Raw genomic sequence first — 22,966 nt, forward strand, 5'->3', positions numbered from 1 at the left:
CTGTGGGCCCCCATGACCACGTGTCCCAGCCCACTCCCCCCCGACACACACACCTCCTCTCGGTGAGGCCAACACTCGGGGCAGGAAAGCATGGCGGTGAAGAATGCAGCTCCAAACTCAGGCTGGAGTGGAATTTCATCTCCATCATGGGCCTGGGCCTTGGAAGTTGCCACACTTTAAACTCGCTGCCTCCCCTGCGAAATGCAAATAACCACAGGCCCATCTCAGGGTGGGTTGGAGACTCCTCTATGATGTGTGTAAAGAGCCCAGCATCAGACTGTGCCAGATACACAATACATCTAAGTGTTACCTATTATTGTTAGGCATATTATAAATTCCCAAGGTTACTCCTGAATTTATTCCCAATTCTCCAGCTTTCTGAGTCTGCTTGAGTGAGTCAAGGTCATTTTCATCACCTGGGAAGGCAATGTGTGTCAATGGTCCCCAAATTTGGCTGTGCTGACATTCTAAGGCTCCATCCTCAAACACTGCCTTGTACACAGTAGGTCCTCTGTATCCACAGATTCAACAAAACTCAAATTTCATCACAAACATTCAAACACATTCGGAACATCAAAAACATTCAAACCACAACAGCTCTCAAGTAAGTTCCCATCCCCTGGTCCTCCCCCATTGCCTGTCCAGCCTCTGAGGTGGAATGCTGCCTGTGTCACTGTGCACTGGCTGGGTTTTGGGCCCTGCAGTGTAGCTGCACATCCTGGCCCCAGGACCCTGCCACCCAGCTGGACGGCTCAGCTCCTGTCCCATCCCTTTCCACGTCTCATTATCGGGAAGACCCTCATGGCAGTGCCAGCAGCTGCTAGAGCCACCTGCCGGTGCTGAACTGACCGACTACCTCCCAGCCCACAGTGGCTGCCTGTGTCTGGGGACACCAATTAACCTTCACACCATTAGTCAACAAGTCCTCCTCCAGCCCCTACAACAGGAGGGAGTGTGATGCCGTGGAATAAGCACTGTCTTTGGAGCCAAACTGGCTTGTGTTCTATCACTCCTTAGAAAGTCCCTTAAAACCTCCCTCTGCAACCTTCTCACATGGAAAATTGCCTCACATGGCAATTAGTATTTCTTGGCTCATATGTATATATGTATTTTATTTTACCAAAATGGTGGAAAGGGCCTGGTGTGGTGGCTCAGGCCTGTAATCCCAGTACTTTGGGAGGTCAAGGTGGGTAGATCACCTGAGGTGAAGAGTTTGAGATCAGCCTGACCAATATGGTGAGACCCCGTCTCTACTGAAAATACAAAAATTAGCCGGGCATAGTGGCATGTGCCTGTAGTCCCAGCTACTCGGGAGGCTGAGGCAGGAGAATTGCTTGAACCCGGGAGGCAGAGGTTGCAGTGAGCTGAGGTCACACCACTGCACTCTAGCATGGGCGACAGAGCGAGACTCTGTCTCAAAAACAAAAACAGTGGAAAGGCTGCAGAAAACTCAACTGTTTTTATTTCATTTATTGATACACGCACCTTCTGCTAACACTATCTTCAGCTTATAATGCGTGAGGAAGGAATGAAAGCTATTAGGGTGTGTCCTACCTTCCCTTTTATTTCTGTGTCATTAATTTCAGCATTAAATGGTTGGCCAATACAGGGAAGCAGCATGGGATGTTCATGTTTCTGAGAATGTCACTGCCTTCTTTCTGTATTTGAAGCAAGTTCTAGTTTGAACAGAAAGCACAAAATCTCAGAGCTGTCAGTACCTCTACTTACTCAGCTGTGGATGCGACATGTTATTTTGCGCTTGTTTTGCATCTTGCTCAACTCCCAGACATTGTGAATTCACCAGAACTCCATGTTGCCGGGGCATCACACACAAATATGCAAATGACACAAAAACATATGGCAGGTACTCATCTTGTATGTATTTCTTCAGTACATATGCATGTTCCATTGTCTCAGCAGGCTTCAGCTGCAAAACATAAGTTCAAAAATAAAACTGTTGGCTGGGCACAGTGGCTCACGCCTGTAATCCTGCCCAGCACTTTGGGAGGCTGAGGCGAGTGGGCCACTTGAGGTCAGGAGTTTGAGACCAGCCTGGCCAACGTGGTGAAATCCCATCTCTAATAAAAATACAAAATTGGCCAGGCGTGATGGCACATGCCTGTAATCCCAGCTACTTGGGAGGCTGAGGCAGGAGAATCGCTTGAACCCGGGAGGCGGAGGTTGCAGTGAGCCAAGGTCGCGCCATTGCACTCCAGCCTGGGCAGCAAGAGCGAAACTCCGTCTCAAATAAATAAATGAATAAATAAAATTGTTAAGAATTTCCAGACTGCACAAGTCATGTGCTCATAAAGCCAACCTTGGTTAAAAAGAGAACATTCAGACTTTCTCTATTAAATATGATGTAGGTTTTGCAAAGATGCCTTTTCTCAGGTTGAAGAAATTATCTTCTTTTCCTAGTTTGCTGAGAGGTATTATCTGAATGGATGCTGAATTTTGTCAAATGCTTTTTTCTGCATTTGACAAAATTGAGATGATCTTATGGGTTTTCCTTTTCAGTAGGCTAATGTTAAACTGCACCAATTTTAAGATGTTAAAACCACCCTGCATTCCTGTGCAAATCCCTACTTGGTCATTATATATTATTCTTTTTATATATTTCCAGGTTTTCTTTGCTAATATTCTGTTAAAGATTTTTGCTTACATGTGCATGAGGGATATTCATCTGGAGTTTTTGTTTTGTAACGTCTTTGTCTGGTTTTGATATCAGGGCAATATTGAATTCATAAAATAAGTTGGGAAATGTTCCCTCCTCTTCTACTTTCTGATAAAATTTATGTGGAATTGGTATTATTTCATTTTTAAATGTCTGATGAAATTCAGCACTGAAACCATCTGAGGCTGGGGTTTCCTTTGTGGAAGGTTTTAAACCAAAATTCAATTTCTACAATGGATATGGGGCTATTCAACATTGATAGTTTGTGCCTCTCAAGTAATTTGTCCAATTTGTCTAAGTCGTTCAATGTATTGGCACAGAGTTGTTTATGACATCATCTTATGACTCTCTGAGTGTCTGTATGATCTGTATTCATGCTCACCTGCATCCCGGTACTGGTCATTTGTGTCCTCCCTCATTTTCCCAATCATCTAGCTAGAGGATTATCTATTTTACTGACCTTTTCAAATAACCAGCTTTGGAGTCACTGATTTGTAATGTTTTCCCACTAATTTTTTTTTCTGCTTCTTTCTCTGGATCTAGTTTTTCTACTTCAATCTAAAGGTTTAAGCTTCTAAGGTAGAAGCTTCCATCACAGACTTTAGACCTTTCTTCTTTTTTTTTTGAGATAGAGTCTGCTCTGTCCTCCAGGCTGGAGCGCAGTGGCACGATCTCGGCTCACTGCAACCTCCACCTCCCAGGTTCAAGCAATTCTCATGCCTCAGCCTCCCAAGTAAGTGGGATTACAGGCATGCCACCACACCCAGCAATTTTTTCATATTTTAGTAGAGATGGGGTTTCGCCATGTTGGCCAGGCTGGTCTCGAACTCCTGACCTCAAGGATGCACCTGCCTTGGCCTCCCAAAGTGCTGGGATTACAGGCATGAGCCACTGCGCCCGGCCTAGACCTTTCTTCTTTATTAATACAGTAGTCTCCCTTATCTGTGGCTTCACTTTTTGCATTTTCAGCTACCCAAGGTCAATCACAGTCCAAAAATATTAAATGAAAAATTTAAGAAATAAATAATTCATAAGTTTTAAATTGAGTAGTGTGATGAACTCTAGTACAATTTTGCTCTGTCCCACTAGAGATGTGAGTCAGCCCTTTGTCCAACATATCCCCACTATCCATGCTACCCACCTGTGAGTCACTTGGTAGCTGTCTCGGTTATGAGATTGACTGACAAGGTACTGCAGTGCTTCTGTTCAAGTAGCCCTTATTTTACTTTATAATGGCACCAAAGTATAAAAGTAGTGATGCTAGCAATTCAGATATGCCAAAGAGAAGCCATAAAGCGTTTCCTTTAAGTGAAAAGAAAAAATTTCTCAACCAAAGGAAAGATCATACGTTGAGGTGGCGAAGATCTAGGGTAAGAGCAAATCTTCTATATGTGAACTTGTGAAAAGGGAAAGATAAATTTGTGTGAGTTTTGCTGTTGCACTTCAGACTGCAAAAGTAACAGCTACAGTGCATAGTAAAGGGCTTAAAGATGAAAAAGGTATTAAGTTTGTGGGTGGAAGACACAAACAGAAAATGTGTACCAACTGTTATAACTGTTCTATTTTATTATCAGTTGTTGTTCATCTCTTACTGTGCCTAATTTATAAGTTAAACTTTATCATAGATACGTATATATAGGAAAAATATGGTATATATAGGGTTCAGAACTACTGACAGTTTTAGGCATCCACTGGGGATCCTGGAACAGCCCCCACGAATAAGGGGGAACTACTGTATAAGCATTTAATGCTACAAATTATCCTCAAAGCACTGCTTTGTCTGCGTCTGCTAATTTCAGCATGTTGTTTTCATTTTCATTTAATTCAATATGTTTTCTAAGATCTCTTGTGATTTTTTTCCTTCCTTTAGGCATGTGTTTCCAAATATTTTGGGATTTTTAAAGATATAGTCTGTTACTTCTACTTCCATCCATTTTTGTCAGAGAATATACTTTATATGAGTTCAATCTTTTAAAGTGTATTGAGTCTTTTTTTTTTTTTGAGATGGAGTCTGGCTCTGTCACCCAGGCTGGAGTGCAGTGGCGCGATCTCGGCTCACTGCAAGCTCTGCCTCCTGGGTTCACGCCATTCTCCTGCCTCAGCCTCCCAAGTAGCTGGGATTACAGGCGCTTGCCACCAAGTGGGCCCGGCTAATTTTTTGTATTTTAGTAGAGACAGGGTTTCACTGTGTTAGCCAGGATGGTCTCGATCTCCTGACCTCGTGATCCACCCGCCTCGGCCTCCCAAAGTGCTGGGATTATAGGCGTGAGCCACCACTCCCAGCCAAAGTGTATTGAGTCTTGTTTTGTAACAGGTTGTGTGTCTTTGAGAACATTTCAGTGCACTTGAAAAGAATGTATGTTCTCTAGTTCTTGGGTGCAGGGTTCTATAAATATTCCTTTGGTACAGCTTTGTCATTAGGTGCATACATATTTAGAATTATGATGTCTTTTGATGAATTGATTCCTCTGTCATTATGAAATGTCCCTCGCTATCCCTGATAATATTTCTTGTTCCAAAGTATATATTGTCTGGTACTTATAGCCACACCATCTTTATTTATTTATTTATTTATTTTGGTAGAGATGGGGTTTTGCCATGTTGGCCAGGCTGGTCTCGAACTCCCGGCCTCAAGTGATCCGCCCACCTTGGCCTCCCAAAGTGCTGGGATCACAAGTGTGAGCCACCACACCTGGCCTATTTTTCTTTTAATTAGGGTTTGCACAAAATGTCTTTTTCTATCCTTTTACTTTTAATCTATGTGTCTTTTTTTTTTTTTTTTTTTTGAGACTGGGCCTTGCTCTGTCATGCAAGCTGCAGTGCAGTTGTGCAATCACAGCTCACTGCAGCCTCAGACTCCTGGACTCAAGCCATCCTCTTGCCTCAGCCTCCAAGGTAGCTAAGACTACCAGCGCATACCATCACCCCCAGCTAATTTTTAAAAAAATTTTTTGTAGAGGACAGATGTGGTGGCTCATGCCTGTAGTCCCAGCTACTTGGGAGGCTGAGGGAGGAGAATCACTTGAACCCAGGAGGCAAGGGTTGCAGTGAGCCGAGATCACGCTGCTGCACTCCAGCCTGGGCAGCAGAGCGAGAAAATTTCTTTTTGTAGAGACAGGGTCTCTTTTTTGTGTACAGACAGGGTCTTGCTCTGTCACCCAGGCTGGTCTTGATCTCCCGGCCTCAAGCAATCCTTGCACCTGGGCATCACAAAGCACTGGGATTGAAGGCATGAGCTGCCACACCCAGTCTATCTGTGTCTTTATATTTAAGATGAGTTTCTTTATGATAGTTGATAGTTGGTTCTTGCTTTGTTATCCACTGCACAATACCTGTCTTTTTTTTTTTTCTTTTTTCAAGACAAGGTCTCACTCTGTCGCCCAGGCTGGAGTGAGTGACACCATCACAGCTCACTGCAGCTTCGACCTCTCAGGCTCGCTCAAATGATCCTCCCATCTCAGCCTCACAAACAGCTGGGACTACAGGCACACACCACTACTCCTGGCTAACTTTAGTATTTTTTGTAGAGATAGGTTTTCACCATGTTGCCCAGGCTGGTCTTGAACTCTTGAGCTCAATCTGTCCTCCTCAGCCTCCCAAAGTGCTGGGATTACAAGCGTGAGCCACTGCCAATATCTGCCTATTAAACTGAATATTTATATCACTTACATTTAATATTATCAATATGGCTATATTTAAAACTGTTGTCTTGTTTTTTGTCTTCTACTTATCTTACTGTTCTTTGTTCCTTTTTCCCACTTTCTTTGCCATCTTTTGAATGATTTTTGTTTACCATTCTATTTTATCTCCATTATTGGCTTATGAGTCATATCTCTTTGTTACGCTTTTTCAGTGATTACTCTGGGACTTAGAGTAAACATTAACTTAGTACAGTCTAGTTCAAATATTCTATTACTTTGCATATAAGAAAATTACAGCCAAGTGTGGTGGCTCACATTGTAATCCCAGCCCTCTGCGAGGCCATGGTGGGAGAACTGCTTGAGGCCAGGAGTTCAAGACCAGCCTGGGCAACGTGGTGAGACTCTATTTCTACAAAAAGTTAGCCAGACATGCTGTTATATGCCTGTAGTCCCAGCTACTTGGGAGGCTGAGGCAGGAGAAGACCTTGAGCCCAGGAGGTTGAGGCTACAGTGAGCTATAATTGTGCCACTGCTGTCGAGCCTGGGCAACAGAGTGAGACACTGTCTCTAAAAACTAGTAACAATAAATAAAGATAAATAAGAAAATTATAACAATATACTTTCATTTCTCCCCTCCTGTCCTTTGTGCTATTTTTGTCATACATTTTGCTTCTATGTATGTTCTAAACTCCAAAGTACCTTGTTTATATTTTTGCTTTAAGCAGTTTCTCAAAGAGATTAAAAATGAGAAAAGATAACTTTCATATGTTTCCATATAATTTACCATTTGGAAGCCTCTTCACTCCTTTGTGCAGCCCAAATTTCTATCTAGTATCATTTTTCTTCTGCCTAAAAAACTTGCCTCAACATTTTTTGTACTACAGGTCTGCTGGTTACGAATTCTCTCAACTTCAGTTTGTCCATCAAAAAGTGTTTATTTCACCTTCATTTTTGAAGGATATTTGTGTTGGGTATAGAATTCTAGATTGACCTACTTTCTTTTTCAGTTCTACTGTCTTCTGCCTTGAATAATTTCTGACCACACATCTGCTGTCATTCTTATCTTTGTTCCTCTCTATGTCGTGTGTCTTTTTTTTCCTTTTTGTTTTCTTTCTGGTTACTTTTATGAGTGTATCTTTATTAAGCAATCTGATTACAATGTGCCTTGATGTAATTATCTTCATTTTTCTTTTTCTTTTTTTTGAGATGGAGTCTTGCTCTGTCGCCAGGCTGGAGTGCAGTGGTGCAATCTCGGCTCACTGCAACCTCCTCCTCATGGGTTCAAGCGATTCTCCTGCTTCAGCCTCCTGAGTAACTGGGACTACGGGCACACACCACCACGCCCAGCTAATTTTTGTATTTTTAGGAGAGACGGGGTTTGACCATGTTTGTCGATGGTCTCGATCTCTTGACATTGTGATCCGCCCACCTCAGCCTCCCAAAGTGCTGAGATTACAGGCATGAGCCACCACGCCTGACCAATTCTCTTCATTCTTATTCCTTATATTTGTTTGTATTCTGTTGAGCTTCTTGAGTCATGGGTTGAGTTTTCATCAAATTTGGACGTTTTCCCACCATTATTTCTTCAAATATTTTTTTCTGTCTTTCTCTCTGTTCTTTTGAGACTTCAATTAAACATATTAGGGTCTGTTATATTGTCCCACATGCCAGTGATGCTCTGAGTATTACCTTTTGTCAATGTTTTTTCTTTCTTTCTTCTTCTTTTTTTTTTTCTTTTGAGACAGGGTCTCACTCTGTCACCCAAGCTAGAGTGCAGTGATGGAATCTTGGCTCAACACAACCTATGCCGTTGAGCTCATGTGATCCTCCCGTCTCAGCCTCCTGAGTAGCTGGGACCACAGGCACATGCCACCACTCCTGGCTAATTTTTGTATTTTTTGTAGAGACAGGGTTTCACCATATTGCCCAGGGTGGAATATTTTATCTTTATGTGCTTAATTTTAGATAGTTTTATTGCTCTAGCTTCAATTCACTGATCATTTCTTCTGCACTGTCTAATCTACTATTAATCCTATCTACCTAGCTTTTCATTTTTGATTTTGTAGTTGATATTTTGATTTTTCATCCCTAGAGGTGCTACTGGATCTTCTTATACTTTCCATTTCTCTTCCCATCATCCTGATGTGTTCATTTACATGCTTGATCAAATGAAACATATTTATAAAAGTTATATTCGGGCTGTGCACAGTGGCTCAAGCCTGTAATCCCAGCACTTTGGGAGGCCGAGATGGGCAGATCATGAAGTCGGGAGTTTGAGACCAGCCTGGTCAACATGGCGAAACCCCATCTCTACTAAAAAATACAAAAATTAGCCAGGCATGGTGGCATGCACCTGTAATCCCAGCTACTCCGGAGGCTGAGGCAGGAGAATCGCTTGAACCTGGGAGGCAAAGGTTGCAGTGAGCCGAGATCGTGCCACTGCACTCCAGCCTGGGTAACAAAGTGAGATTCTGTTACAAAAAAAAAAAAGTTATTTTCATGTCCTTTCCCTGATAATTCCATCACATCTTTGTCATTGCTAGGTCTATTTCTATTGACCACTTTTTTTTTGTTAGTGGGTCAGTCACATTTCCTTCTTTGTCTAGTAATTTTTTGCTGGATGTCTCACACTGCAAACGTTACCATTTTTCAATGCATAATTTTGTCATATTCTTTTAAAGAGGACTCCAGTGAACCCTGGTCCTGTGTTGGCTCTATCCTGTTTGTCTTACAGCTCCCTCTGCAGTTGTTCTCTTCTGGTCTCACAGGGTTGCCCTGTGCATGAGCAGATTGATATTCACCGAGATTCCAGGAGGCCTCTATCGAGATTTCTGGAGATCTTTCTCTTTCCAGCTTCTTCCTTTTAGGATTCTGTCCCACAGATTCTAGAAACCTTAGAACTTGGTGTCTCCAAATTCTGATCTCTGTTCCCTCAACTTAGTAATCTCGCCAGTCTCCGTTTGGGTTCTCCCTCCCTGTGGTAGAATTCTCTTCAGGTAGAAAGGCTAGGTAATGAACGATAGGGCTCACTCGGTTAGTCTTCTTTTTCCAAGGAATCACAGTCCACCATTGCCTGGTCCCTATATTTTATCCAGCTCCTAGTTGTTTACAGTGGGAGAATAATTCCAGGCTGTCCTGCTCACTCTCGACTGGAAGCAGAAGTCTCATCATCTTTTCGCAAGATGACATCATGGTAGATCAGAGGAAGAAAGAGACCAGCCACCCACCCTCTTTCAACCATATCCCTCTTGCCTACCATACCTGTACCCCATCTTTCCCTAACTGCCATTCCTGGTCTCTAATTCAGCCACACCCTCCTCCTCCTTCCCCTTCTCCTTTTTCTCCTCCTCCCCCTTCTCCTCCTCCTCCTCCTCCCTCTTCTCTCTCTCTTTGTCTCTCTCCCTCTCTCTTTCTGGGACTTCTTATAGAATGTACCCCCACCTCCATTGCTACCACTAACTTCAAGGCCTGGTTCAAAGCCCCCTGCCCTTGGCATAAAGAGCCAAGACTCTGAAACTGGACAGAGCAGAAGCTGAACACCAGCCTCACCTGCCAAGGGCCTGTGTGTCCCTGAGAAAGCACCTCAGTCTCTCTCTGAAATCTCCCCAGGGTTGGGGAGAGGATCAGAGCACCTGACACAGTGCCCGGCGCGAAACAGGTGCTTGGTCAGTGTTCCTCCCAACTCTACCATCACGATGTCACATGTGGCTGGCTGTTCTCTTCCTCCACCTTCTCATGGGTGATTTGAAATAGTCTCTCATCAGTTTATGGGGAGTGTGTTGAAATCTTCACACTCACACGGGAAGTTCAGCAAGGACAACAACCCAGACTTTTCCATTTTGCACCTTCTAATATGCTGAGCACCAGCAGGCCCTCCGTCTATGCTGGCTGAACGAATCCCTCTCTCTCCTATACCCGCTTCGGTGGCTCAGGTCAGGTCCTTGTATCCCGCCACGTTCAGGCAGGTTCTCACATACTCTGCTGCTCACAGCCATCACCGTTCGCTGCCAGAATCATCTTCCTGAAAGGTAGCAGGGCTCAGGTCAACTGCCTGCTCCAAAGCTTTCAATGGCTGTCCACTGTCTACAAAATGGAGTCAGAACTGTCTCATATGGCTTTTACTCCTCCCCATTTCAGATCCCAAATAACCTTCCAGGCTTCTTTGTTACTACTGCACCCAACTCTCCAGTCAGAGGTTCTCCACTACCCCGTCTATGTTCACCCCCAGACCTTTGTTCACAAGCCACTGCCACTGCCCCTCCCCTACTGACCTCAGGATCGAAATCCAACGTGCCCTTCACGGCCCAGCTCAGTACTCCTCCTCCTGAGGGGCTTTTCTCTCCACTCTCCCAGTTCGTGCGCCACAGAGGCCCCCGGGGAGGCTCGAGGACCGCCTTTCCATCACCGTGGGGTGAGCCCCACCCTCGCACCGAGAAGAAAGGAAGGGAGTGGACCTACTGTCTGCGGGATGGGAGTCGGGACACTGACTGTGTGGGAATGCACCTATGCAGGGCTGTCCTCGGGGAGAGGGGCTTCGTGTACTTCACACAGTGCTTCATGAAGGGGTGAGTCAGGCGCCATCTCTCCTTTTTCCAAAAGGAAAAATGAGCCACACCACAGATTAAGTCAATTACACTCAGCCAGAGGAAATATCCTCCGAAGATCTTCACTCTCAAATCAGCCTCTCAATGGAGCCCTGCAGCACTGGAAAGGAGCCCTCCCATTTCCGCCTCTGACTTCCTTTCCACAAAGCAAAGGAGCAGAAGCCACAGGTCCCAGGAAACCGCACAGCTCCCGGCTCCAGGTCTCTGGGGAGACAACCCTTGCCTGGGGAAGCCTGGGAGGTTCGGGGAAGCAAACAGAATTCCTAAGACTGGGAGAACAAAAGCAAAATTTACCACGCAACCAACAGCAGCTCAGCAGTGGGAGGTCTGCAGCCTGGGGATAGCTCCAGTTCACACTGGAAACCCTTTCACCGCCAGAGAACTCCAGCGCGGACGCCAAGCACGACCACGGCAGGTGACCTGCCCTCCCTCCAGCTCCACCACCATTCTCCCTGTTCTCACCACACAACCACGCACTCAATAGCCTCCAAACACTCCACTGTCCCCTCATGCCCCTTGTCACCCTGAATCCCGGTGTCACTGGCTTCCAATGTCCCCCTACCCCTCCCACCTTTTCCCAGCTCACCTGTCTCTACCTCTGCTCCCTAGGCAGAGCCACTAGGCAGTTGCCAACTGCCTAGGCAACTCCCTAGGCAGCTGACCCACAGAGGCCCAGGGAGGTCAGCTGCGCTGCCCAGGGCCCCAGGCATCCAACTCTGGGCCACGCTTCCCTCCTCCTGGCACACCGCCTCCTTCTCCCCAAACCACCATCCGCTCTTCTGCCCTGTGAGGTGATGACTGTATTGATTTTGATGCCTTCTTCAATCCCAATAAATAAACCATTCTCTTGCGACCAAAGCCCATGTCTGTCTAAGAGCGGGACCTCACTCTCGGCTGGAATGCTGCTGTCACCCCAGCCACCTCTGCCACCAGCCTGCCAGGCAAAACTGTCCCTGGATTTCCTGCCCAGTAGGCCCTTGAAAGATGCCTTCTTGCTGCTGCAGATGGAAGCAAGCAGAAGCAGCTTGCTAGACCAGCCCTGACTCTTCCTCAGCTCGAGAGGTGGCTGTGGCTCAAGGAGGCCACCAGTGTGGACCTCGAGTGGCACCACCCAGCTGATGGAGGCAGGGCTGCAGACGGCAGAGGCATCTCATCCCCTTGAGAGGAAACTACAGTTACCATAGAGGGGTGTGTAGAGCTTTGCTTCCCCGATTTGCATAAGCTTATATAAAGAATGTATCTGTCCTAAATGTGCATAGAGTCACATAAATATGCAATTCACAGAAAGATCTCTGGAAGTATCCACACCAAACATTTGGCAATGGGTACCTATGAGAAGGGGAGCAAGGGAAGGAAGGAGGACTTTCACTTTTATTCTTTGTACTCCTGTCTAGGTTGAATTATTTTCTTACAATAGTGCTTCATAATATAGAAGAAAACTGATATTCGTTTAAGAGAAGCCTCAATGTTAATAGCAGTTATCCTTCAGAAATAATATTATGGGTAATATTTTTTCATACTACATAGTATTTTCCAGGCTTTCCACAGTGAATACATTTGTTACTTTTATGTTAGATTGAATCATATGAAATGAAGTTGCCTTTTTTTTTTTCTTTTTGAGACAGAGTCTTGCTCTGTCACCCAGGCTGGAGTGCAGTGGCGAAATCTCGACTCACTGCAACCTCCGCCTCCCAGGTTCAAGCAATTCTCCTGTCTCAGCCTCCTGAGTAGCTGGGATTACAGGTGTGCGCCACCACCCAGGAGGCGAAGGTTGCAGTGAGCTGAGATCATGCCACTGCACTCCAGCCTGGGCAAAAGAGCCAGACTCTGTCTCAAAAAAAAAAAAAATAAATAAAAAATTTTTTAAAAACGTAAATGTTTATGTAGACAATAGCTCTATCATTAAGGCCTGACATATAAACTTTCCAGAAATGGGGGGGCCATACCCCCAATCTTAAATGTATAGCTACAGAATTTCTACCTGCAGTGTTTGTGTCCCGCAGCTAGGCAGGATGGACAAGGTTCTGTGAGCAGCCTGGGCAAACAGGAGAAGGCAGTCCTGAGCAATGCGCTTTAGTCTACACCTAGAGAAAGTGCCCAGGACCATGTAAGGTCTGGAAACCATGTCGCCTGAGGACTTCTTGAAAAAGGGAGATGGGCGAGGCTGAAGAGGAGATCCAGGGAGAGCAACATAGCTGAATTCAAACACTGGAAGGGCTGCTGTGTAGAAAACAAGAAGTAGACATGCATTACTTCCTGTGGACAAATTAGAACCAGGAAAGGGTGGCTCATGCCTGTAATCCCAGCAGTTTGGGAGGCCGAGACGGGTGGATCACCTGAGGTCAGGAGTTCAAGACCAGCCTGGCCAACATGGTGAAACCCCATCTCTACTAAAAATACAAAAATCAGCTGGGCGTGGTAGTGGGCACCTGTAATCCCAGCTACTTGAGAGGCTGAGGCAGGAGAATCGCTTGAACTCAGGAGGCAGAGGTTGCAGTGAGCCGAGATCATGCCATTGCACTCCAGCCTGGGCGACAACAGTGAGACTCCGTCTCAAAAAAAAGGAAAATGAAAGAACCAGGAATGGAAGCAGCGAGGAGGGAGCAGGTCAGAGCCGAGCAGGAAGGGGCAGGGGCACAGGATAGCGCTGGAGTCCCCAGAGCCGAGACACTGGATCCACCAAGATAGTCCAGTCCCTCCAGAAATCAACTGACGTTACACGTGCCGCAGGCAAGCTCCTCTCTAGGAAGGCCATGCATTTATTTCTGCTCCAACTTTCGGAGTATTTTCCAAGAATCACTTATGTTTAGTCCCAAACCTGTTTATGCCAGTTGTTTTTGGTATTATATTTACATAACTTAATTAAATATAACCTACACAGATAAAATATGGATGTGAAAGAAAGCGCGTTGTTTCTAAAAAAAGTAAAGTGAGTATTTTGAACATTTTTGACAAATATAAGTAGCTAGAAGAAATTGCTGTTGAATTCAAGGTAGGCAAGACAGTAACAATTTGGCCAAAAAGAAAGAACAGTAATAAAAATGTAGGGGGATTCTGTACCCAGGTTCCTTCCAAGTGACTTTTAATTCTTACTCCACTTTAAGGAAACTGGAAATGACACACAACACATCCCAGCTGCAAAAGAAGGCCATAGGAGGGGGTGGTGGCTAACACCGGTGGTCCTAGCTACTCAGGAGGTCAAGGTGGGAGGATCACTTGAACCCAGGAGCTCAAGCCCAACCTGGGCAACATAGCAAGACCTCATCTTTAAAAAAAAAAAAAAGAAGAAGGAAAAAGAAAAAGGCCACAAGGAATACCAAACAGAGTACCTATATAAAAAGGAAAGAACTTTCCCTTCAACAAAAGATTGGCAAATGACTGTATAGCTAAATGTTTTCAATTAAAACAAACTATTTAAAATACATATAAATGTATATATGTATGCACAATTTTTGTGATTCCTGTATTTTACTGACTTTTTATAAAACCTACTGAATTTTAGTAGATGGCACACATTTTAACTCTGTGTGTGTGTGTGTGTGTGTGTGTGTGTGTGTGTGTGTGTATTTGGTTTTTTTTTTTTTTTTTGAGACAGGGTCTCACTCTGTTACCCAGGTTGGAGTGCAGTGTTGTGATCATGGCTCACTGCAGCCTCAACCTCCTGGGCTCAAGCGATCCTCCTGCCTCAGTCTCCCTAGTGTCTGGGACCACAAGTGTGTGCCACCACGCCTGGCTAATTTTTTAATTCTGTGTAAAGATGAGGTCTCACTATTTTGCCCAGTCTAGTCTCGAATTCCTGGGCTCAAGCGATCCTCCCACTTTGGCCTCCCAAAGTGTTGAGATTATAGACGTGAGCCACCTTGCCCAGCCTTAGGTGTATATTTTGATGAATATGGACAAATATGTACAGCTGTGTGACTACTTCTCCAAGCAAGATACGAAAGACTGCCATCATCCCAACATGTGCCATGGTGCCCCATCCAAGTCAACTTCTCTCCCAGCCCCGTGGAGTGTCTGTTAAGGTACCATAGCTCTTACCACACCATAGTTGGCCCTTGAACAACAGGGTTTGAACCGCACAGGTCCACTTGCAGATTTTCTTTCACCTCGGCAACCCCTGAGACAGCAAAACCAACCCCTTCTCTTTCTCCTCCTCCTCAGCTACTCAACGTGAAGATGCAGATGAAGACCTTTTGATGATCCACCTCCACTTAATGAATAGTCAATATATTTTCCTGGCCAGGCGCAGTGGCTCGTGCCTGTAATCCCAGCACTTTGGGAGGCCGCGGTGGGTGGATCACCTGAGGGCAGGAGTTCGAGACCAGCCTGGCCAGCATGGTGAAACCCCGTCTCTACTAAAAACACAAAAAATTAGCCGAGTGTTGTGGCACATATTTGTGGTCCCAGGTACTTGGGAGACTGAGGCAGGAGGATCACTTGAGCCCAAGAGGTTGAGGCTGCAGTGAGCCGTGATCACACCATAAAAATTAGCTTGGTGTGGTGGCGGGCGCCTATAGTCCCAGCCACTCAGGAGGCTGAGGCAGGAGAATCACTTGAACCCGGGAGGCGAAGATTGCAGTGAGCCAAGATCGCGCCACTGCACTCTAGCCTGGGTGACACAGAGAGAGACTCTATCTCCAAAAAAAAAAAAAAAAAAAGTTATACATGGATGTTGACTGTGTGGGGGGCAGCACCCCTAACGCCTGTGTGGTTCAAGGGTCAACTGTATGCTGAAGCCATCTTTTGACCGTCTGTGCTCTCCACCATCTATCTTTTGTTGTTATTCCCCTTTTTCATGTACAGTACAATTCCCTTTTTTGGTGTACAGTTCTATGTTCTGACACACAGTCATGTAACCACTTCCACAACCGTCTGTCTCGATCTCCTCAGAGAAGACGACTTCTGACTTGCATTTGGATCTGGAAGTCTTGGCCCTGAGACCAGCCGGGTCTGCGCTTCCCGGGGGGAGCCTGGGCGCCTTCTTCACCCTCTGTTCCTCCTCCACTTTCTTTTCTATAAAATGCCAGTGACAAGAATATCCACCTCACAGAGTGGGTGTGAGGACTAAGTGACATAATGAGATAAAAAGCGCTTCAATGATCCATGCAAATGTTATTTGTAACTAGTCCTCAGAGAGTCATCAGACCCATTAGGCCATCGTGAAGGGAAGTGGGTGAGGGGCGGGGAGGAATGGGAGCAGGGGTAGGAGGGTGCGGGGGCACCATGGCAGGGCTCCAGCACGGCTCGCCAGCTGAACAGGGAGCGCCATGATCCCTTTCTTCCCTAAATGCAACTCGAAGCCTCAGGTGTTGTGCGTCACTAACCCTGCCGAGGACGAAGATTCTAAAGCTCAGGGGAACAAAGTGAGGCCATCTAGGGCCACAGGGACATCCTAACCCCAGGTTCTCCATATGAAAGGAACCGAGCTCCATGCAGCTCACATGATCTGACCTAATGAAAGGACATACCTGGCTTCCTCCACTACAGCCATGCCAGCAGCCTTCTTCACCATGTCTCCCACCCACAACCAACTCTTCACGCATTCCTCCCAAAGACGGAGCATAAAGAGAAAAGACATTAAGTGAAAGGCCATTGCCAAAATGCAAAAAGGAAGGAAGGAAGGAGACAGAGAGAGAGAGAAAGAAAGAAAGAAAAAGAGAGAGAGAGAGAAAGAAAGAGAGAGAAAGAAAAGAGGCAGAGAGAAATTTGGATCAAAAGTACACTATTCCACTATTCTAGCCGGGTGTGGTGGCTCACGCCTGTAATCCCAACACTTTGGAAGGCCCAAATGGGCAGAGAACTTGAGATCAGGAGTTTGAGGCCAGCCTGACCAACATGGCGAAACCCCATCTCTACTAAAAATACAAAAATTTGCCAGGTGTGGTGGCACATGCCTGTAGTCCATACTACTGAGGCAGGAGAATCACTTGAACCCGGGAGGCAGAGGCTGCAGTGAGCCGAGATCGTGCCCCTGCACTCCAGCCTGAGCGACAGAGTGAAATTCCATCTCAAAAAAAAAGAAAAGAAAAGAAAAAAGTACATGATTCTTTGTCTCTGTGGAGAACTTCATGTGGAAAGCATATTCTCTCCGACATTTAGAAGGCAACCAAAAAAAACGGTGACCCAGCTTGTAAGTTTCTTCTCTCTTTTTTTAAGACAGCATCTCTGTCGCCCAGGCTGGAATGCAGTGGCACAATCTCGGCTCATTGCAACCTCTGCCTCCTGGGTTCAAGCAATTCTCCTGCCTCAGCCTCCCTAGTAGCTGGGATTACAGGCATGCACCACCACGTCCAGCTAATTTTGTATTTTTAGTAGAGACAGGGTTGCACCATGTTGACCAGGCTGGTCTTGAACTCCTGACCTCAGGTGATCTGCCTGCCTCAGCCTCCCAAAGTGTTAGGATTACAGATGTGAGCCAATGCGACTGGTCAGTTTCTTCTATTTTGCCTCCTATGCGCCATTCCTCTATTGTGTTGTTTTTGCTTTTTCCCTGATTATTAGAGTTATTAACCAAAGCCCTGTCCAGCAAGCAAAGCCATGATCACTATAGAGAGATGGGAAGGTACAGTTTGGTCTTTCTTAGTTACTGTGGGGAAATGGTGAATAATTGAAAGTGTGTTTTTGCATTTTTTTTTTTTTTTGAGGCAGAGTCTTGTTCTGTCTCCCAGGCTGGAGTGCAGTGGCACAATCTCAGCTCACTACAAGCTCTGCCCCCTGGGTTCACACCATTCCCCTGCCTCAGCCTCCCGAGTAGCTGGGACTACAGGCACCCACCACCACACCCGGCTGATTTTTTTGTATTTTTAATAGAGACGGGGTTTCACCATGTTAGCCAGTATGGTCTTGATCCCCTGACCTCATGATCCGCCCGCCTCGGCCTCCCAAAGTGCTGGGATTACAGGCGTGAGCCACTGTGCCCAGCCGTTTTTACATTTTTTAAGACAAAAATTGTCTAGGAAAGTTGAATATGGCTATTTATTAAACAGGGGCTGAGGGTCCGACACCCCAGTCAGGGGTTGGGAAACAATGATAGGGTGGATAGGGCCAAGCGGGGAGGGATGTCAGGTCCGCCCCAACCAGGGAGGCAAGGGCAGGGCTTGAAGCCACCAGGCGCCCTTGAGACATCCTGGAAGAAGCCTGGGGCTGCTCTTCCCTCCCTTGTGGTTGGGCCAGGCTTTTCTACAATTCCTTATCAGAGCCAATAATCATCACAATGACAGTGACAGCCAGAGAAACAGCCATTTCTAGTGCTTGCCGCCTATCCCAGTGAAAAAGGTATTATTATCACACCCATTTTGCAGAAGGAGAAACCAGGCAAAGAGGTTAAATAACTTACCCCAGATCTCACAGTTGGTAAGTGGGGGAGCTCCTGGTGGTTCAAGTCGAATGACTGTGACGCCAGTGCTTTGACCCAGAGTCCAAAGCAGAAAGCCACCCGGGGTGAGGGTCGACCAAGACTCACAAGGTCCCTTCACTACGCCGTAATTGTGAAGGCCAGCAGGTCTGAGACACAATGGAAGGGATAGGAAATGCCACCTGTAATCCCAGCACTTTGGGAGGCTGAGGCGGGCGGATCACCTGAGGTCAGGAGATCGAGACCAGCCTGGCCAACATGGTGAAACCCCGTCTCTACTAAAACTACAAAAACTAGCCAGTCGTGGTGGTGCACGCCTGTAATCCCAGCTACTTGGGAGGCTGAAGCAGGAGAATCTCTTCAGCCCAGGAGGTGGAGGTTTCAGTGAGCTGAGATGATGCCACTGCACTCCAGCCTAGGCGAGAGAGTGAGACTGTTTAAAAAAAAAATAAAAAGAACCACCCTAGATTGGGCTCTTCATGGAAATAAAGAGTGAATATCCCAAATTTGTCCCTGGAGATGGGCAATATGATATTAACAACTACAAGCCCAACTACAGGAGGAATGTGTGTTCCAGAGCACTCAGTGCTGCACCAATGAAAGGTAAACTGTAAGCATGGGCAGGAGTAGAGCAAAAAGGCACTGAAGGGTGAGGCTGTGTGCCACTCCTTGGGCTGGCTCCAGCTGACAGGGTTGTCCACAGTAGAAAATGTGCCTGTGGGCAGTGGGGTCGGCCCCCAGCCCCACGTGGGAGGATGAACAACCCTCGGCACCATGCCATGCGCTTTGCTCAGATTCCCCTTCAGGAAATTACTGATTTGGTTTCTTAGGAATTGGCAGCAAATATGTACCAAATGACACACATGGTATTACCACCCCCTGCTCCCACCCCGCTGCCCTCCAGAGAAGGTGGGAAGGTCCACCTACCATAAGCAGGTTGGTGACCAGGCCTTGAGCAATCTGTCTTATAAGAATCAGGCTCAAGACTGGACGTGGTGGCTCACGCCTATAATCTCAGCAGTTTGGGAGGCAGAGGCAGGTGGATCACTTGAGATCAGGAGTTTGAGACCACCCTGGCCATCATGGTGAAACCCCACCTCTACTAAAAATACAAAAATTAGCCAGGCGTGGTGGCACGCACCTGTAATCCCAGCTACTCGGAAGGCTGAGGCAGGAGAATCACTTAAACCCAGGAGGCGGAGGTTACAGTGAGCCAGGATCGCACCACTGCACTCAAGAGCAAAACTCCATCTCAAAAAAATAAAAATAAAAATGAAAGGAATCAGGCTCATGGGAATAAATTCCTCAGGGCCTGGTCCCCTTGGGTGAGAAACTGCCCCCAAGGGCAGTCCAGGAGCCCACCGAGAGCTGGATAGGCAGCTGTCGCAGTCTTCCACTACCAGATCTGACTCAGCCGACACCAAACTACACTTCCTGGAGATCAGTCCTGAAGTGACATGTGAACAACAAACCCCAGACATGGAAATCTTGCGAAAGTTCAAGTCCAGTCGCTTATGTTGGGGTTTTGAATGGAGCTCAAGAGAGGGGTAGATTTCTTCTGAAACAAGTCATTTACTTTCCTGTCTACAAGAAGGAAAGTGTTGTGGAGGAGAGGAAGGGGAAAAGGAAAGAAACAGTTTCATTTCTAATCAAAGTGAATTCCTTAGGAACCACAAAGAGGAATTTCCTAGAAGAAAGGACTGAAAACCTGCTCAGAAGAAGGAAGAGTCATCAGACAGAAAATGGCAAGGAGGGGAAAGGAGAGAGGGGATGGGCCTGCTGAAACGACAGCAAGTAAATAAAATGCAAGTGACACATAAATAAAATCAATAAATTAAGAATAGACAAGACTGGGCGCAGTAGCTCACGTCTGTAATCCCAGCACTTTGGGAGGCCGAGGTGGGCAGATCACTTGAGTTCAGGAGTTGGAGACCAGCCTGGCCAACATGGCGAAACCCCATCTCTACAAAAATACAAAAATTAGCCGGGTGTGGTGGTGAGCTCCTGTAATCCCAGCTACTTGGGAGGCTAAGGCAGGAGAATCACTTGAGCCTAGGAGGCAGGGGATGCAGTGAGCTGATATTGTTCCACTGCACTCCAGCCTGGGCAACAGAACGAGACTCTCTCTCAAGAAAAAATAAAAATAAAAATACAAAAATTAAGAGTAGACAAATGAGCCAAGCGTGATGGCTCACGCCTGTAATCCCAGCACTTTGGAAGGCCAAGGTGGGCAGATCACCTGAGGTCAGGAATTCAAGACCAGCCTGGCCAATATGGAGAAACCCCATCTCTACTAAAAATGCAAAAATTAGCTGGGCATGGTGGCGCATGCCTGTAACCCCAGCTACTCGGGAAGGCTGAGGCAGGAGAATCACTTGAACCTGGAAGGCAGAGGTTGCAGTGAGCTGAGATTGCACCATTGCACTCTGGCCTGGGCAACAAGAGCGAAACTCCGTCTCAAAAAAAAAGAAAGAAAAAAAAGTAGACAAATGCCCTACAGAAAAGGAATAGTACAATATTCTGCAATATTATTCAGCATTTTATAATTTGAAACATTCTTAACAATAATCCTTTCACAATGAAGAAAAAGAGCTAGTTGATTACGCAGAAAAGAGATGAAAAAAGGATAATGAAGAAACTTGGTCTGATTCATTCATAGTTCAAAGATCAGAGATGGTCTGCCAAGATTAAATGTAATAAAGAAATAACTAGCATCTGCACAGTGCTTTGTAGTTTAAAGCGCCTCTATATAATTACCCACCCCTCCCCCAACCAGGTAACACAGTCACACTCCCGTGCCCTTGTTTGCCAGTTAGAACTGTGGGAAGCAGTCCCTCAACTGGCACCATGGCCCCACCTTGGCTAGGCTTAAGTCTCCCCAATGCAAGAGCATCAATCGTGCAAAACACCATCAGACAGACACTGCTTCCTGCTTCCTAATGGCCGATCTACCCAGCACAGGCTACCTGGGACAATCATGGGTCCCGGCAGGAAGCAGGGGCGGGTTACAGATGTCCCATGCTGAGGGCCCCCCCGACACACATTGGCTGCTCCACGTGTTGGATTCTAAGCCCCCTTCCTTTTTGATTCTACACACTCTCCCCAGGCAACCCCTCAGCCTCCCTACAGTTTTAGGTGCCACTTAAATGCCGATGATTCTCAAATCTGCAACTCTAGACCTTTCTTCTCCAGATCTTGAGTACAAGGTCTGGTATACAGAAGGTGTTCAATAACTTTCCACTGAATAATCTGAAAGTTCCACTTGGATGTCCCACGGGCAACTCAAACCAAACTCATCTTCTCCATCCCCTACGTCCGTCCTGGTGGGTGGCCCTCATGGTGCCACGCCTGGACTCCCTCACCAGCCTCCTGCACCATGTCGACTTCATTCAGGTCCACCAAGATGATCCCCCTAAATGCAAACCCAATCCTATCTGGTGTTTCTGAAGCTTGTGCACCTGCAAATCTCTACCTCCTGGGAAAGGAATACAAACATCAGAGCCAAGCTGCCAACCTAAGCTGAGGAGAGAAAGGGGCAGGAATGGTGCTGGGGTCCATGATTAAGCCACACATCCTGTCACCTAGGGCAGTGTCCTGGACACAGGGGCCGTTGCATGCTTGAGAAGGTAAGAGAATGACTTCTCACCCAAATAAGGCAAGGCAAAGTCTATACAGATGAATTCTGAGCCACCATTTCTCTCTGTACAATGCAGTTTCTGAAACTTTCTAAAAATCTTAGAAATGATGTATTGGATCCTACAGAGAATCAATACCTTAATGGAGTTAAAAACACTGGGCTCTGGGCCACATTTCTAACTTTTGAAGCATTCTGTGGTCACAGAGTATTTTGGACCCTACCCAATCTCATGGCTTTAATTAGTTCCGTCTCCCCAGCATCCCCCATGTGCCTCCTGGTTTCTCAGACAGCCTCAGAAGACAGCTGCTATCAATTCATTCCCTCCCTTACACACGCTACTCAAACATCAAAAGATAGAATCAATTTCCTCTTGCATCTGAGTTAGCCTGGACTTCTTGTAGCCGATAGTGATGAGCCTAACCTTTAAAAACTGTGATAGCTTCCACCTTCTCTCTGAGACCACCATGCTGTGAGGAAGCCCAAGTTAGCCACATGGAGAGGTCAGGAGGAGGAGCTCTGAGGCTCCAGACATGAGTAAAGGCTTCTTAGAACTTGCCAGCATAGCTGGCAACTGAATGCTGCAGGTGAATGAAACAGCGCAGGTGGACAAATGAGTGACCCCAGCCCATGCCACGTGAAGCACAAAAACCACCCAGCTGAACAGTCAACCCACAGGATCATGAGAAACAATAAACTGTCATTCTTTTTTTATTCTTTTTTGAGACCGGTCTTGCTCTGTCACCCAGGCTGGAGTGCAGTGTCACGATCATGGCTCATTGCAGCATCCGGGGCTCATAATCCTCCCACCTCAGCCTTCTGAGTAGCTGGGACTACTGGCACATGCTACCATGCCTGGCTGATTTTTGTACCATTTGTAGAGACAAGAGTTTTGCCATGTTGCCCAGGTTTAAACTGTTACTCTTTTAAGCCTCCAAATTTTGGGGCTGTTTGTTACACAGCAGTGGATAACTAAAACACATGGTGAATAAATGGACATATACTCAGTAACACTGAGTAATGAGCCATCCCACATTACTGAATTTCCAAATATAATCC

At 46.3% G+C, this 22,966-nt stretch overlaps 1 protein-coding gene across 29 annotated transcripts in view, besides 3 other annotated features; it reads right to left on the reverse strand.

Annotated features, from left to right (window-relative positions):
- Positions 1–22,966, reverse strand: part of ADCY3 (adenylate cyclase 3) — a 101,069-nt gene that overhangs the window by 68,423 nt on the left and 9,680 nt on the right. Inside the window, exon 1 of one of the 29 annotated variants that reach the window (XM_047443016.1) lies at positions 54–189. The exons of 27 other annotated variants lie outside the window; for them this stretch is intronic. In XM_047443016.1, the coding sequence (XP_047298972.1) occupies positions 54–92 (39 nt within the window). In that variant the 5' untranslated portion in view covers positions 93–189. Of the gene's footprint in view, positions 1–53; positions 190–22,966 lie in introns of those variants that run through there. One more of the 29 variants, XM_017003191.1, reaches the window with a different exon arrangement.
- Positions 11,145–12,064: an enhancer, noted in NCBI's record as "H3K4me1 hESC enhancer chr2:25121605-25122524 (GRCh37/hg19 assembly coordinates)". NCBI's record gives its function as "activates a minimal SCP1, AML or CMV promoter by ChIP-STARR-seq in primed H9 embryonic stem cells {active_cell/tissue: H9 hESC(primed)}" and the evidence as "EXISTENCE:reporter gene assay evidence [ECO:0000049][PMID:30033119]".
- Positions 15,673–16,174: an enhancer, noted in NCBI's record as "H3K4me1 hESC enhancer chr2:25126133-25126634 (GRCh37/hg19 assembly coordinates)". NCBI's record gives its function as "activates a minimal SCP1, AML or CMV promoter by ChIP-STARR-seq in primed H9 embryonic stem cells {active_cell/tissue: H9 hESC(primed)}" and the evidence as "EXISTENCE:reporter gene assay evidence [ECO:0000049][PMID:30033119]".
- Positions 16,175–16,674: an enhancer, noted in NCBI's record as "H3K4me1 hESC enhancer chr2:25126635-25127134 (GRCh37/hg19 assembly coordinates)". NCBI's record gives its function as "activates a minimal SCP1, AML or CMV promoter by ChIP-STARR-seq in primed H9 embryonic stem cells {active_cell/tissue: H9 hESC(primed)}" and the evidence as "EXISTENCE:reporter gene assay evidence [ECO:0000049][PMID:30033119]".

Source organism: Homo sapiens, chromosome 2 (genome assembly GCF_000001405.40).
Source record: "Homo sapiens chromosome 2, GRCh38.p14 Primary Assembly".
NCBI lineage: Eukaryota > Metazoa > Chordata > Mammalia > Primates > Hominidae > Homo > Homo sapiens.